The sequence below is a fragment of the Homo sapiens genome, chromosome 7 (genome assembly GCF_000001405.40).
Source record: "Homo sapiens chromosome 7, GRCh38.p14 Primary Assembly".
NCBI lineage: Eukaryota > Metazoa > Chordata > Mammalia > Primates > Hominidae > Homo > Homo sapiens.
Window position 1 is genome coordinate 94,288,227 of NC_000007.14, and position 14,662 is coordinate 94,302,888.

General features: G+C 38.7%; 1 long non-coding RNA gene across 1 annotated transcript in view, besides 1 other annotated feature; it reads right to left on the bottom strand.

Annotated features, from left to right (window-relative positions):
• LOC112267858 (uncharacterized) overlaps positions 1 to 14,662 on the bottom strand; it is an 84,173-nt gene that overhangs the window by 11,700 nt on the left and 57,811 nt on the right. The gene's annotated exons all lie outside the window — the stretch shown is intronic.
• Positions 12,030 to 13,229: an enhancer, noted in NCBI's record as "CDK7 strongly-dependent group 2 enhancer chr7:93929568-93930767 (GRCh37/hg19 assembly coordinates)". NCBI's record gives its function as "activates an origin of replication core promoter dependent on BRD2, BRD4, P300/CBP, MED14 and CDK7 cofactors, with strong dependence on CDK7, by STARR-seq in HCT116 cells {active_cell/tissue: HCT116}" and the evidence as "EXISTENCE:reporter gene assay evidence [ECO:0000049][PMID:35650434]".

Sequence of the window (14,662 nt, forward strand, 5' to 3'; positions counted from 1 at the left end):
CAAATGGAACTTCCTGGGGACTTTCCTATTGAAAAAGCCTGTGGAATGTTCTCCTGTCTTCATATTGCTTCATACAGCAGATGGTCACTCTGGGAAATATGTCAGTCATGACAACAACAAACTACGTGTGCCTGACAATTACAGAGATGGATGGATGAAATTTTGCAATTCATAAATCTTATAAAAGTCACTGTATTTGCCCAGTGATTATTTGTCCTTAACTCTACCCCACCTTACTTCTCCTCCAGAGAGATGCCACTTTGCAAGATTTCATGAGTAGCATGGTAAAGCCAATAATTTGGGGTGTTAGCTAACTGACAGAAATCCGAAGTAGGAGAAGCCAAGCTGAGCCAACGTGGTCTGTATGAGACAGAAGAAAATGTCAACTACCATATTTTTCTAATAAATACAAGATACATTCATTTTCACACATATTTGCTACAGATGGAAATTTCATTTAATGATGGCTGGTTGAGGACCCCAGCCAAGGGTGTATAAATACCAAGAAGACATCAATTTATGAGATGGGCTCCCTAATAAAGCAGCTACATAGAGAACCCAAGAACACCGCCATAGCTGATTTCTAATGAAATATTTAATGATAATGATGACATCAAGTTGCTCTCATTGAACCAACATATGTTGTTATGGAACCATAATAAAAATTTTGCATCATGAGAATTTCTGAGGGATTTAAGAATAAGAGCAATTCTTAACTGTTAGGAAAGTCCTGGGGGAGGAGAAAAAAGAAGGATAGGAAGATTTATTACTGATTTTCAATGTTGTGAAGTTAACTAAGTTTCAGTTATATCATGAGCGATAATCATTAGAAATCTTGAATTGATTTCCAATCTGTAGTGGATATGCTAGCTAAGAATTTTCCAAAGCTTTGTTGACTCTCAACACTCAGGCTTCTCAAGCCTCAGAGGCCTTCCCACCAGCAGAGGATGCTGTTTTTCCATGCATGGCATAACAACCCCCAACCACCTCCAATCCCAGTTCCACCAGGAAACAGTTCACACAGAGAAAAGATTCCTATTGGGCCATTTTGCAAGTGTGGTTTTGCACTTGAAACAAAGAGAAGAGACTCTTTCATTCAGCTCAAGTTAATTTAAATATTTTAGTGGTGATTTCTAAATCTATCATTTTTAAGGAAGTAAAAATATTGGAGTGGAGTGGGAATGAGCAAAACGCTGCTGTTTAAAATATAAGTATCAGTCACTGTTTTCTGTGATTTTCTAGCTCCCCTTTAGTGCATCTGAAAACAATGCTTTTCAATTAGGAGAAAGTGCTTATCTAAATGATCAGATTTTTCCCGCCTGTGAATAATGAAGCCAAAGTAAAGGCTGTGGTTTTTAGGACAAATGAAAACAAGAAAGTCATTCAAATTAATAATAATTTTAGAAAACTAAAGGGGGAAATTTTTATCACGATGGGAAAATGAAAAATAAAAAGGAGAAGAAGATAGGATTTGCCGGGAAATAAGCAGAGATAAAACAAAGCCCAAGAAAATGAGTATAATAAAAAGAAAAATAAGGAAAAAATAACTCATTCCTCTGAAAAGAAGAGCTTGTAAAAATACAAGCAGGATAAAATTAGACAGGGGCCCTTTCTTCCCCAGTAAGTAGCCTTTCACTCATTTTTCAAGCTTGTCTTGAGAGCCCCACGCACGCAGAGAACACTAGAGGTGCAAGGCATAAAGCTGAATGACACCCAGTTTCTGTTTATGATCATCTTGGGATCTAAAAGCAAAGATAAGCTATATAGAAACTATAATGGAAAGAAGAAAGTAATAAATGTCATGAGAAAAATAGGTATAAAGTATTATGACTGATAAGAAGAGAGAGGGCGTCACCCCTGTGTTGATGGATGAGTCAAGGAAGACTTCATAAAAGAAACAGGTTTTCAGTTCGACCATTAAAGGATGAGTAGGATTTTTCAATAAGAGGATTTGGACATTCCTTATAAAGAAAAGAGATGACATGATTAAAGCTTCAGAGTTTGGAAAGTAATTTTTTCTTTAACTGCGAGTGTTTGAAGAAAGAAGAATGAGATACAAGACCAGTGAGAGGCTCTTAGAAATCCAATCACAAAGGTCCTTGCAAGTCAGGCTAAGAAGTGTGAACTTTATTTCTTAAGAAAAGGGGTTCTTAATATGGATTTGTGCATAATTTTCAAAGGATTCATGAAACTCCTTATGTATTTTTTGTAATTGAGTATTTTTTCTGGGAAAGATCCATGACACAAAACAATTCAGGGCATATAGAACACCCTTCCCATGGGGTATCTGTCCAACTCCCAAAGACCCCTCTTTATTTAGAGGCTGACCTTGAACACAAGGATATGGCCTCTAGTGGCCAGAGTTGTACAGTCTGACCTTGCTCCTATAGTCTCAGCTGAATGAAGCTGAGCAAACAACTGGCTCACTTAGGCCCAATCAGACCCCAAATGTGTACAGATTTGAACTGAGAGCCTAGGGTTGTGGGAATTCATTTACTTCAATAATAGAATTCTAGAGAAAATATTCATGAATTCCTTATTCTGAGATACCTGTCACTAGTTTGATTTCTGCCCTTCATGATGCTGGATTGTTCAAGCCTTTCTTGACCTTTGTGAGAAACCACAGTATCCATCTAAATATTCTTTTTTTTTCTCAGAGTGATTAGGCAGAGTCAATTTCTTTTGCTTATAACCAAAAGAATGATGACTGATACAGAAACTCTATTTCAAACACTGCAAAGAGACAGTGAGAAAGTATTAGAACATTTGCACAGGGGCATGACAGCTCCTAAAAATTATTTCAGAAATGTGGGAGTTATATTTACATTGTTTTTCTCTATCCCCAATTCTCAACATCAAATCAACACTATCTTTTACCCATTTTTCCTGCAGAAGCTGTCTAGTACTCTTTCCCACCACAGCTATCCTGGTTCAGGTCCTAATCATTTCTCTCTTAGACCATTGAAATGAGCTTCTAAATGGTCCCCCAACTCCAATCCATTCCCCACACTGCTGACAAGTGTCTTTTGCAACTCATGTAAGATTATGTGAATCTTCTCAAAAATCTTAACCCACACATTTCTAGTGAAAAAGTCTAAACTCTAGTCCAGCATTCAAAGCTCTTCAGAGTCTGGCCACAGTCTACATTTTCAACATTGTCTTGCACAGACAATACTCTCAAAGTCACCAAACTCCATATCGGATTTTATGACTCCAGGTCTCTATACATCCCACTCTCCATGTTTGAAATAACTTATTTCTTCTTATCCTGGTCACTCAACATAGATATCACTACCTTGTCCTTTTCTGTTACAACCCAGCAAAATTATCCCTTCTTCCTGTATATCCTTGTAGCAGATTTTATTACAATTCGGCCACATTATAGCACTCTGGGCACCTCTGCCTCCTCTACTATCCTATGAGCTGCTCAAGGGCATGTCTTATTTATCTTTATATTTGGGACCTAAAGCAATGCCTTCCAAGTGGGTACTTGATATATATTTAATGGACATGAGAGGGAATTGATGGATGTAAGAATTAATGAAGGTGATAAAGAATACATATTCAAAGAGGTAAAGAGAGGATGTGATTATGTATTATGGCTAATCTCACAGCAGTTTGGGAAGGAAGGATTGGTCAAGAGTGTCCAAGTCTAGAGAGAAGTCAAGGGGAGGATCTTGGGTGGGGACAGGCTAACTCTGTCATGATCAGTAGAGAACAATTGCCTACCTGTCAGGTAGGCAATTGATAATGTAGAGAAGATATATTGATAACACAGAGAAGAGTGGCTGGAGATGTGAGAATGCTGATGTGTGGAGGAGATGGGGAAGAAGCAGAATCAGGGAAACAGTTTACTTCTTTGGGAAGTAGGGAAATAAAATGAAGCTAACCAGAGGAACAGCATAATCCAGTGAGGGAAGGAGAGCAATCAGAAAGGTCTTAGAGAAAAAGGCAGAAGTTGGAGGAGTCAGCATTGTCAAGGAAGAAAAGACCTCCTCCTTGAAACTGAAAACAGATATTGATACAGTGATTATTTTGGAAGAAAAATGAGATATATTAACTCCAAGAAAAAAACAAATAGAACAAACTGGTCCCTGGTGTTGTTGCTTATCACTCAGTGGTACAAACAAAGAGTATTTCTGCTGCCTCCATCAAGAACTCTCCCCCAAGCAAAGTTCTTCCAATATAGAGCCAAGATAAAAGTAGAATAACTATAATTCTATAAAATGGGGGTACAGTTAGGACATAAAGACAGCAAAGATCACTTGAATTGTATCCGTTTCACATCAAGGGCACTCTTATAATCACATTTAGTTACACATGGGTAGGCTGTGGAAACAGCTGGGTAGACCTTAATTTAATTTAACTAATTGATTTATTGGTTTCATTAATTGCTGTCAAAGGATACAAATACTGTCCCCAAGGGCCACAGTTTAGTTGGTCATCACTACAGCTTCTAGAAAAGTAATTGGATTTTTTAGTTTAGCCCTCCAGGTCAGCTATCAAAGAGCTAGCAGGATTTCACAATATAGCGCCATAGAAAATAAAGACAGAGAACTACCTATTGATGTAAGCAGTGCCTCCTTCTTTCTCATTTTCCTCAGTGACAAGGTCTTTTTCCATTAGTCTTTTTAGATTCTTTTTTATCAGAGTAAATTACTTTTATTTCTTCCTTGAGCACTCTTTATACTCTCCTTTTCTTTGGGCTTTATCTTTCATTTCTAACCTTGGCTTTTCTCTAATTATCATAGATGCCATCAAACTCTTTTATGTATAAATGGGGTACAAATCAATAATTGATAAAATTGTTAACTCAGAATGGTAAACTGATTTTGGTTTTCCCTGTTAAATTTTAGTTTGGGGACCTCTTACTCAAGCTCAGAACCCTAAGTTGTAGATGTTTTCCTTTCTTTTTTAAGTAAAATTTAATACCTACTCAAAATTTTTAATGAAAATTTTAAGTATTGAGAAGAAAATAAAAATAACTTTGAATCCCAAATTTACCTTTTGATATTTTTTCTATGCATATAGACAATGTTGAGTCTCAGTGAGAAAGAGCTGTATGTAAAACCTTCAAAGAATGTTTTACTACGTAACACGCCAAGGCATAAACAGCACTGTCAATCATGAAACAAAATCAGGGAGAAAAATCTTTCCTTCTCTCCTCCCTGTCTCCCTCCCTTCCTTCTTTCTCTTCCCAGATTTGGCATCTCAAGGATTCTAAAGAACCTGGGTCAATATCCAGTAAAAATCAGCAGTGTCAGGCACAGTAGCTAATATACCTGGGAAAGCATTAGCATCACTGGATGGGGAGCTAAAATGCAGGGAAAAGCAGAGAGAAAGAGACCCTGCAGTGTGCAGGAATACAGCTGCAGGTCAAGAGAAGTTGCTTATTCCTTCACACATGGGAGACATCCCCTGGAGACAGTTTTTAAAATGTCTGGTAGAAGATGGGCATTTTGGAAGTTCTCAAGTCCAACATCATTCATGAAAATAAAATCAGCCAATAAAATTTGGGCCATGAACTCATTTACCTGCAAAGGATGTAGATCCCTGGGAAATTCAAGTGTAAGCCATCCTTAGATTTCAAGAGCATAATGAACTTATGCCCTGTCTCACGATGTATATTCTCTCATTCTCCATACCCCTTCTATAATTAGTATATATCCCCACTACAAAATGCAGATCTCCTTTTAAATATGTAAATTTTGATTCCCAGATTCATTTAGGATCCATTTGTTCTGAGAGCATGTATAAAAATTATCTTACACTGGAAGGATGGATGCAACAATCTTCACTGTGATGAATGCAGGAGTGAAGAGGCTAAAGACAGAAGGGCGATCTCAAGATACCGATGGGAACTCACAGCCTAGAAGAAAGGTTTTACAAGAAAAACTCTGATGTCCAAAGAACTGTGAGAACCAGCAATGAGCATGATCAATTTAAATCTGCAGTTCTCAATTCTCCTATTTAATATGTGTTTCAGCATGCCTCTTATGGCATTTTACACTTGAGTAATTTCATTAGATGGATACTCTGGTGCCTTTGCCATTAAAATATGTTTTGTTGTAAGATTAGGGAGCTATTGAAATACTAAAGTTAAGTCTCAATAAAACAATAATAATAATACTTTAACTGCCTATAAGATCTTTTTTTTACTATATTGACATTCATGCTCAATTACAACACAATTTTTGCCTTCTACATTTTAAAGACCTTTAACATGCTTTTAACTTTTATGACTATGAATTGGTTTTGATGGTACATGTAAACTGTAAATATAGTAACTGCAGATGGCATTAATCTTACTTATGAACCAAATGATCTGAATGTGTAAAAATATAGCCCAAGAGAGTCAGAGTTAAAAGCCTTTGAAAACTGCCTCAATGTCTTCCAGCTAGTGAACTTTCATATCAGTGTCACTGTTCATATTATCTTGTCAGTTGGGGGTCTTTTTTTATACAAGACTTGTTAGGCAACGCCTGCTGGAAATATCAGTGTGGTAGGATCTCAAGCGGCTGTGTGGTTACCTAGACTCTGGGGCAATCAATCCTTTGAATAATAATTCTGAAAATTGACTCATGGACTCTTAGAACTGGAAGCGCTCTTAGAAATCATCAAACAGAGCCTGACTCCCTCAATCAGGACCTGCTTTTAGCTGCACAGCGAATTTGGTTCTACTATCACTATTTCCCTTAGTTTTGCTTTCTCAGTTCCTCTTTCTGCTCCAAATTATAGCAGCAGTCCAAATATCGATCCCTATGATGCTTCCACATTTTATGTTCATTAAACTGCACAGTGACATTTCTATGGTGTAGCTCTTTTTACTTAATGTGAACGGTAGAAGCTACTAGAAGAGACACTGGACTAATTCTGAGGTGGTTTGCAGGAGGAGCTAAGGCTGCACAGCTGCCCACTGTGCCACAGCTCTCTCTAAAAACTGGACCCAATCAAGCTGTTAGTTAGAGATGCCAAATCATCAATCGTCTCCAACCTGAGAATTCTAACTCTCAGTCATTCCTCAAAACCCAGTTTAAATATCTCATCCCCCTTACTAAATAATATCAATAATTAATATCATTTCCCTGTCCCAAGCTCTTTGCATACATCTCTATTGTAGTTAGAAGTTATCTCCCAGTGAGATTATGTAGTTTATTGAGAGAAGTGAGTCTCTCTTATCATTTTTGTATCTTCAGTGCCTGGAATAGAATAGCTGTTTAATAAATGTCTGAACGTAGAAGAAAATGTCAAAGAAAAACATAAAGAACATAGCATACTGTTTTTATTGAATATCAGGGAACATCAGAAATGGAATGTAGAAATATGTAAAATCTCTTCTTCTCTGTTTATGACCAGAAAAAGCCTATGAATATAGTCAGACAATCCTACCCAGTGGAGTAAATTCATTTCTGAAAACGAGGCAAGTTTACATTGCCTCTGTACCTCTGATAACTCTGGCCAATGTTATTTAAATTGTTTATTATCTGTTCAGATAATTCTCAATGCCACACATTCTCCCATAAAGGTAGCCAATTGCATGCCTGCAATACATATATGAATTGTTTCAAAGTGCCAACATTTTCTTTTGTCACTACTCTATGCAGCACACAAAACTGTCATTGCAAATCATTTTATTAATGTCATTTAAAAAACAAATTAACTTTTGGAGCTGTTGTTTGTGGCATTGTGCTGCTGTTTCCCTCCCTTCAACATTCTGTACTGTAGTCTTCACAAAAGAACACTAGAGGGATCAGCTTCATATTTTTCAGAGGCCTTTGTGTCAACCAAGCCAAGTACAATTATGGCTCTTCCCAGAAGAAGGAAAGAATAATGTTGGCAATCGGGCGTTACCACCCAGAACCACAGAAAAAGCTGCAAATGTAACCAAAATGGCTTTCTCGGCCTTTATAAATCCAGAAACCTACGTGGCATTTTCTATGGCTAGAGGCAGCACTTTGGGAAATTACCTTTAGAAAACTGGTTAGAGGTCTACCAGAGCTTTGAAAAGAGCCTGCAACCTGGGGAGGGATTGAAGAAAGAAATAAGCAGACTTGTTGTTTAATAAAGCTGCCATTTTTTTTTTTTTTTTTTTTTTTTACTTCCAAGGGACAAAATCAAGTAAATGTCAAATTTTTTCCCAGCTGGTAAGCACATTCAGATTTCAGACTAAAATGTCCCAAAAAGACTAGGGCTGACGATGAGAAAGAAACACATGAATTCCTTCTTTTCAAAATAAGATAGAGAAAGAATTCAGTCACCTTTAGTCTAGACATTTTTCTCTTCACTTTGCCTAAACCATAGCCATATATAAAGGCATACATTGATAAAATGGTATAATTTTGGTGTTTTGGTGTTTCTGGACAAATAAGAGGGAACTAATCAAGCTAGCAATCCAAGTCTGTCAGAACTAACAAGGTAACTGAATCAGATAAAATTAATAATAATAACAGTAAAAACCTCTTGTTATAATGTCAGACAACACTGTAGCTTTAATTTGTCGATTTCAGAAAGACCTCTTTGGCTCCTGAACTTATTTGGTTAGTGAATTACCTCACAAGCTGATCCTCTCATCTCTCTCATCCCTGTGGTCTTTCCTAATTAAAATGAAAACCACATTGCTCTAATTATTTGATCATACCATTTCTCTTCTCAAAACCTTGCAGTAGCTTTTAATTGCAGCAAAACCTGGAATTCAATGTAAAATCAATACTGGGGCTGTAAGTCCATGCCTCCAATGTTCTCCTGCCTCTGACCCAATCGCTGGCCTTTACTCTGCATGGCCAGGGCTTTCACTTCAGGCAGTCAATCTGCTTGACTCCAATAACATCCTGACATGATTCCCCCTTTTCTTGATTGTACCTTTCTCTTCTCCAATAAATAAACACTCAGCCAGAGCACAGCTGCAATGGTCTATTTTTGTTGGCCATGCTGGATTGTCGTTTATAGGATTTGATGTGCAATATGTCTTGTCCTGTTTCTTCTGAAATCATAAACTTCATGCTTGTTGATGCCTTGATTAGACCATAGCTCTAGTATAGCACTGGGGGCTCCATAAAAGTGGTCAACACTGGAGGAGATCGGCAAGGAAGCTCAAATCTTCGTCTTTATAAGCTAAGAGTGATCATATACATGCAAAAACTTCAGGAAAAGAGGTGCGGTTCCCTTCAGCCATCCCCTTTCATCTCTCACCCCTGACTTGTTCCCTCCCTGTTCTGTAAAAAATAGAAAAAGAACCCTGGCTTTCCTCTATGGTGGAAATTTCCAGCAATGGCCTTCCATAAAAGGGATAGGTCTTGTTTCAGCACCAAGGAATCTGCCTCTAACCGTTTGGGCTGGGTGGTGGAGACTTTTTTTTTTTTTTTTTTTTTTTTTTTGCTTTTAGACAACGTGGAAGTGTCTGGAATGGTGTCTCCAGTCCCAGCCATCATAGGAATTACTCAGTGTTTCAGGGCCCTGAGCCAGTAACCACCTCCCAGCCAGCTCTGCCACGTTAGCTTCGAAAGGGAGGTGAGTGAGCTCTGAGTTCAGAGAGGCCAGAGTGATGGAGTCTCCTGGCTGAGAAACCCTCCACAGGATCGATAGCAATTCTCACAGGGAAAAAAAGCACCCCATTCTAGTTCCTACTCCCTACCCTTACAGAATTGTAGAAAGTGAGAGTGAGTTGTTCAGATCTCACTCCCATCCGGCTCCTTAAAGTATTAGGGACCAGGAAACTAAGCAGTGGTGCAGCCCACCCATCCAAGAAACCTGACCCAGGGCTGCCTGATGGGGCTCCTTTTCTAATTTGACAGTCAAATGGGGAGACTTTTGGAGGGATGCTTTTACAAATTTCCTTCAGAGATGGATACTTTATTCTAATAATTCCACCTAAAGGGACTGCCTTTGCTAATTCTCTCCAAGGAGCTATATAGAAGGGGCACAGCTGAATTGACCTTTCTCAGTAAAATGAATCTTCACACACCTATATGATAAACTCTTTTCTTTTTAATTTTTGGAGGTGGCATGCTTGTCCCCAGCTCCAGTGTTTCTGCATCTCCTCTGCAGCTACCAGAGTGGTAGATATTCCCTAACGTCACAGATTCCCTGACCTGGAGCTGAAGAACTTGAGCCAAATGCTCATCCATGAGTTTGACTTTCTAAAGAAATTAAGCATGAAGAACAAGGTAGGAGGCTTCTTCTGGCTGTCTAGGTTCTGCCAAAAAACGGGTATCTCTGGTTCCCGGAAATCTGACAATCTAACTAGACACCTTGCTCCAACCAGATTTATTGATTCATGTTAAGAGCTACTCCCTAACCAGGAGGTTGTGATGTCCTTCTTATTCTCTTACTCCTCTCTCTCTCTCTCTCTCTCTCTACTGTGAAGGTTTGAATCTTGTGTCTAACATTTATGAATTAGACATGTTATTTAATGCCACTGAACATTAGTGAATTCATCTATAAAATGGAGTAGAATGTATATAAAGCCTCTCCCCTTCCCCTGCCCATAGCCCATCCCACTTTCTAATACTTTAGTGTGGGTGTTCCACTTAGTTGTCTATTCAAATGTCAAATCACTGTTCTGGTCATGGTGTAATATTCCTACCAGCAGGGACCTGATCTGTCTTGTTCTTTCTCTTTAATACCTAAAAAAGTGCTTGGGACAATAAATGTTGGTGGAATTAATGAATGTCAGGAAAATCCACTTCATCTCCAGTCTTCCTTCTGCCATTAGCAAGCTGTAAGTAACCTTCACAAACTCATCTGAGCTGCTTTGGCTACAGTTTCTCCACCTGTAAAACAAGATGTTTGCAGTACAAAGTCTTTGGTTCTCTAAGACATGCTTTCTCTGTTAGGAGATTATTATGACCTTCAGTTCTTTTCTCTGCTCAGCTTTCATCATTCAGGCACATTTCACATCCAAAAGGCATCCATGGTGATTCAGAATGCAAGCTCCCAAACGAGACAGCTGTGATCTGTATCCCAGCCCTCCACCATCTAGCTCCGGGTTTGGGGCAAACTTCTTAAACTTGCTGGGCCCGTTTCACTGTCCATTACCTCAAGGAGCTGTTGGGATGTATAAGTGACTAAATTCAGGTAAAGAAACAGAAAAGTGTGTGACAAACAGTAGGCAGTCAATAAAAGTTCACTATATGACAGTCTTTCCTTCCTATATTTTGAGTTTAGATAAATTACAGTGGCTGCGATTTGGGACTTTGAATGGCATTGCAGTTTTTATTTCCAACTTTTCTCTCTTTGATCAATGGTAGTCTAAATTCTACATATAGCAATCTAAGTGGGTATCAAGTATAAGGATAATAGAAAATATCTTGGATACAGTGTCCATGCTATATATCAAGAATATTATTACTCATAGCAGCTTTTTAAAAATTGTAGTGTAGTATGTGTCCTTATGTTAATCTTAAACCACAACTTAAAGAACTTCAACCAGTCTCAGCCCTTCCTGCCCTCCATGCATTTATCTTCATGATGAAGCTTTTAATTTCTCCACATTTAAGATCAGTTTTATTATTTTTCTTTATTAAAGATATTAGGAATGAAGAAACATTGGCAAAATTATGTTGCTTGTTCTTAATTTTTTTACTGTTACTATTATTAATCTTGTTCCGGCCATGGTACTGGAGTACAATATTTCCTTTTGTGGAACATGGTCATTTTGCTATTCCAAACAAAGTTTGTGAAGATTGAAGTTGGAAGCGTTGTGAACTATGAATAACCCACAGAGTCCTAAACGGTTGTTACATTATTATTTTTCTCACAATTATCCTACGAAAAAAACACACAGATTTATTTGGAAAGGCTCGGAACAATGAAATAAATACAGTACTGATTTCAAATGCAAATGTCACGTCATTTCTAAATGAGTCAACCTTCAAAAGACAATGAAAAATCAACCAGAAAATTTCTGCATGTCAAAGAGTTTTAAAGGTGATAGCTAGTAAATTGAAGTACACATCAAAGTTTCTCCAATAAAAATGTTAAATATAAGTTACTTCTTCATACATATCTAAAACCTGTCAAGTACAGGGGAAAATAATCTGTCCCACCCCCACCCATAAACTGAACAGATCACAGAAATAACTGGCATCTTTCCGCTTCCGAGGAGTGGCCGCAGGTTAGTGACAGTATAATAGTTCCTGTGTGGGAGTGTCCCTGAGTTCTAGCTCCTCCAACGCGAATCATGGCAGTGGCAGTATGTCCAAATCCTGGTAGCAATGCCCAGGATGCATGCAGTCAGAATGGCAAGTGCAAAAGGCATTTCTGGGTCTGTCAAGGCCCTAGGCTGCTGGGTAACTTAGGGGTCATCTCAGCAAGAAAGGACAAGAAAGGATTTATAAGTATACGTACACACTCCCTGGAAATGCATCTAGAGTAGGATTCTCTAACACATTGGACTTCCTGCAGCCAGGCAAGCAGAGTCTTGGACTTCAAGATGTGGGTGTTCAAGTTAATGACAACACCTGTTCTCACCAGCTGGTGAAACCCGAAGAGCCCCCCTGCCCCATCAAGGTTACAAGTGTCTTACATATTTTGAAGAGAGATTGATGCTACCTGTTGTTAATTTATGAGGTGAGTGGGTTGAAAATTAAGGAGGCGGAAAAAATTGTGACATGCAAATGATTTTCCTCCCCCTATGGATCAGAACTTTAATCACACAATAAATATTCTTGTTCTCCATGTGGATGATGCAGGTGACCTCAATTTCACAAAGGCTTGTAAAATCCAGTATGTGTTTCTCTGTTCTGTACAGGGAAATTTGAGTAAACGATTGACTTTTCACTGAAATTTAGGTTTCCTAATGACCCCCACATAAATAATGCAGCTAGAAATTACTGAGGACTAGCCCAGTCGCTTGGTGGCTAGCACTTTCCCCTCCCTTCAGCGGTATCCCTGCATTGTGCCTTTAAGGCAGCAGGGGCTCACTAGCTCCTCGGGCTGAACTCTGCCCTCCCTGGGCAGTGACTCACACTCTGCAGGCTCAGACAAATGGAATCTCCCCCTGTGAGAGCCCTGCAGCCTTCCACTGTGAAAAGTCATCACAGGGCCTGAAGGGAATATTTCCCCCACTTCCAACCTCCAAGCTCTGAGGCCACAAGTGTTTTTCACTGAGAGGGCCAGAATGTTCTAAAGCCTGTGGAAATTAAAAGCGTAATTCATGACACAGCAAAACTTTTTCCTCCCCCCATCATCTAAGACCACCTAGGGAAAAGAGAGAAATGGACTAATGCCAGATTGAGGCCTGGAGGAGAAGCCCCAGTCAACTCTCTTTTCAGTCCTTCCACAGCACAGACCAAACACACACACACATACACACGTGCATGCACACACATCCATACTATACATCATCGTATTGTTGTCTCAGGTTTGGGGAAAACGAAATGTTTCAAGACGGATGAGAAGGGAAATTGTGTGAGGAACTGCAGCTCTCCTCCAAAAATGTGTGTGTGTGTGTGTGTGTGTGTGTGTGTGTGTGTGAGAGAGAGAGAGAGAGAGAGAGAGAGAGAGAGAGGGAGGAGGAGGAGAAGGAGAAGGAGGAGGAGGAAGCAGAGGAAGAGAGGGAGGAATGGGGAAGAGGGACAGAGATAGGGGGCGTGGAGGGAGAGCCAGACAATGAAGTAAAAGAACAATCAAAACAAAGTTCCTTCTCCCTCCCCCAGTTCCAGATTTTTGGGCAGCTTCCAAACTTGCTAACTTTCCCAAGGACAAGTTTTAAAGAAATGTTCAAAAAGCCAACAAAACTAAATGTAGATACCTTTGAAACTTCTTAGATAACAGTTACAGACAGCAGTAGCAACCCAACTCTAAAACTGGGCCATTGAAAAGGAGGAGGAGGAGTCTGTGTCCCTGACTGCCACACTTGAAAAGAACTCTAGCTCTGAGGAGTTGATCCGTCTTCCCAATCCCTCATCCACCCAAGCCCAAAAACTCAGACTTTTCAATGGAATCCACCATCCTATGCTTACACTGGTGTGGGAAAACCATCACATACTTTTATTTCTAAATGTTTCTGTTCTGTTTGTTTAAATATGCATAATGTATCAGAAAGAAATGGAAAAAAAGGAGTAGCCTGTTTAAATACAAAGAAACGGTGTTAATGAAAACTAAGTGAAGCATAACCTTAATTTGTACCCCAAATCTAGTATGACATGAATTGATAGATTAGTTACATAAGTAAAAAGTTTTCCTGAAAGCAGAAATTAAAGTTTAGTTGTTTTGCTTCATAACAGTTTAGTGCAATACAAACTTGTAAACTGACATTGATATTTACTTGGTTCATGTTCTGTTACCTATTTTAAGGTTGAAACACTAAGACAACAAAGATCTGCTAATAATTTATTCTTAATTAAAAGACGCAATCTAAGAAGTAACTTTTAACAACTTTCTAGTTTTTTTATAACAGTGTAAACTTCTTCAGTTAATCTTGTGAACCTTGCAACAAATTTACCCACAGATGAAAGTATTAGATAATATGAAAAGATTCAGAAGCCATTGCAATGTACTATTGATTTCCTTTCCCTCCTGAGGATATTTCCAAGGGTTTGCTTTCTCCAACCAACTCTTTAACCTGGAAGTCAGCATTTAGTGATCTGGTTACAACCTTTCTTGTTTGTGTTTGTTTTTTTCTCATACTTAAACGTTCTTATGAACTTGGAGCCAGCTAAAT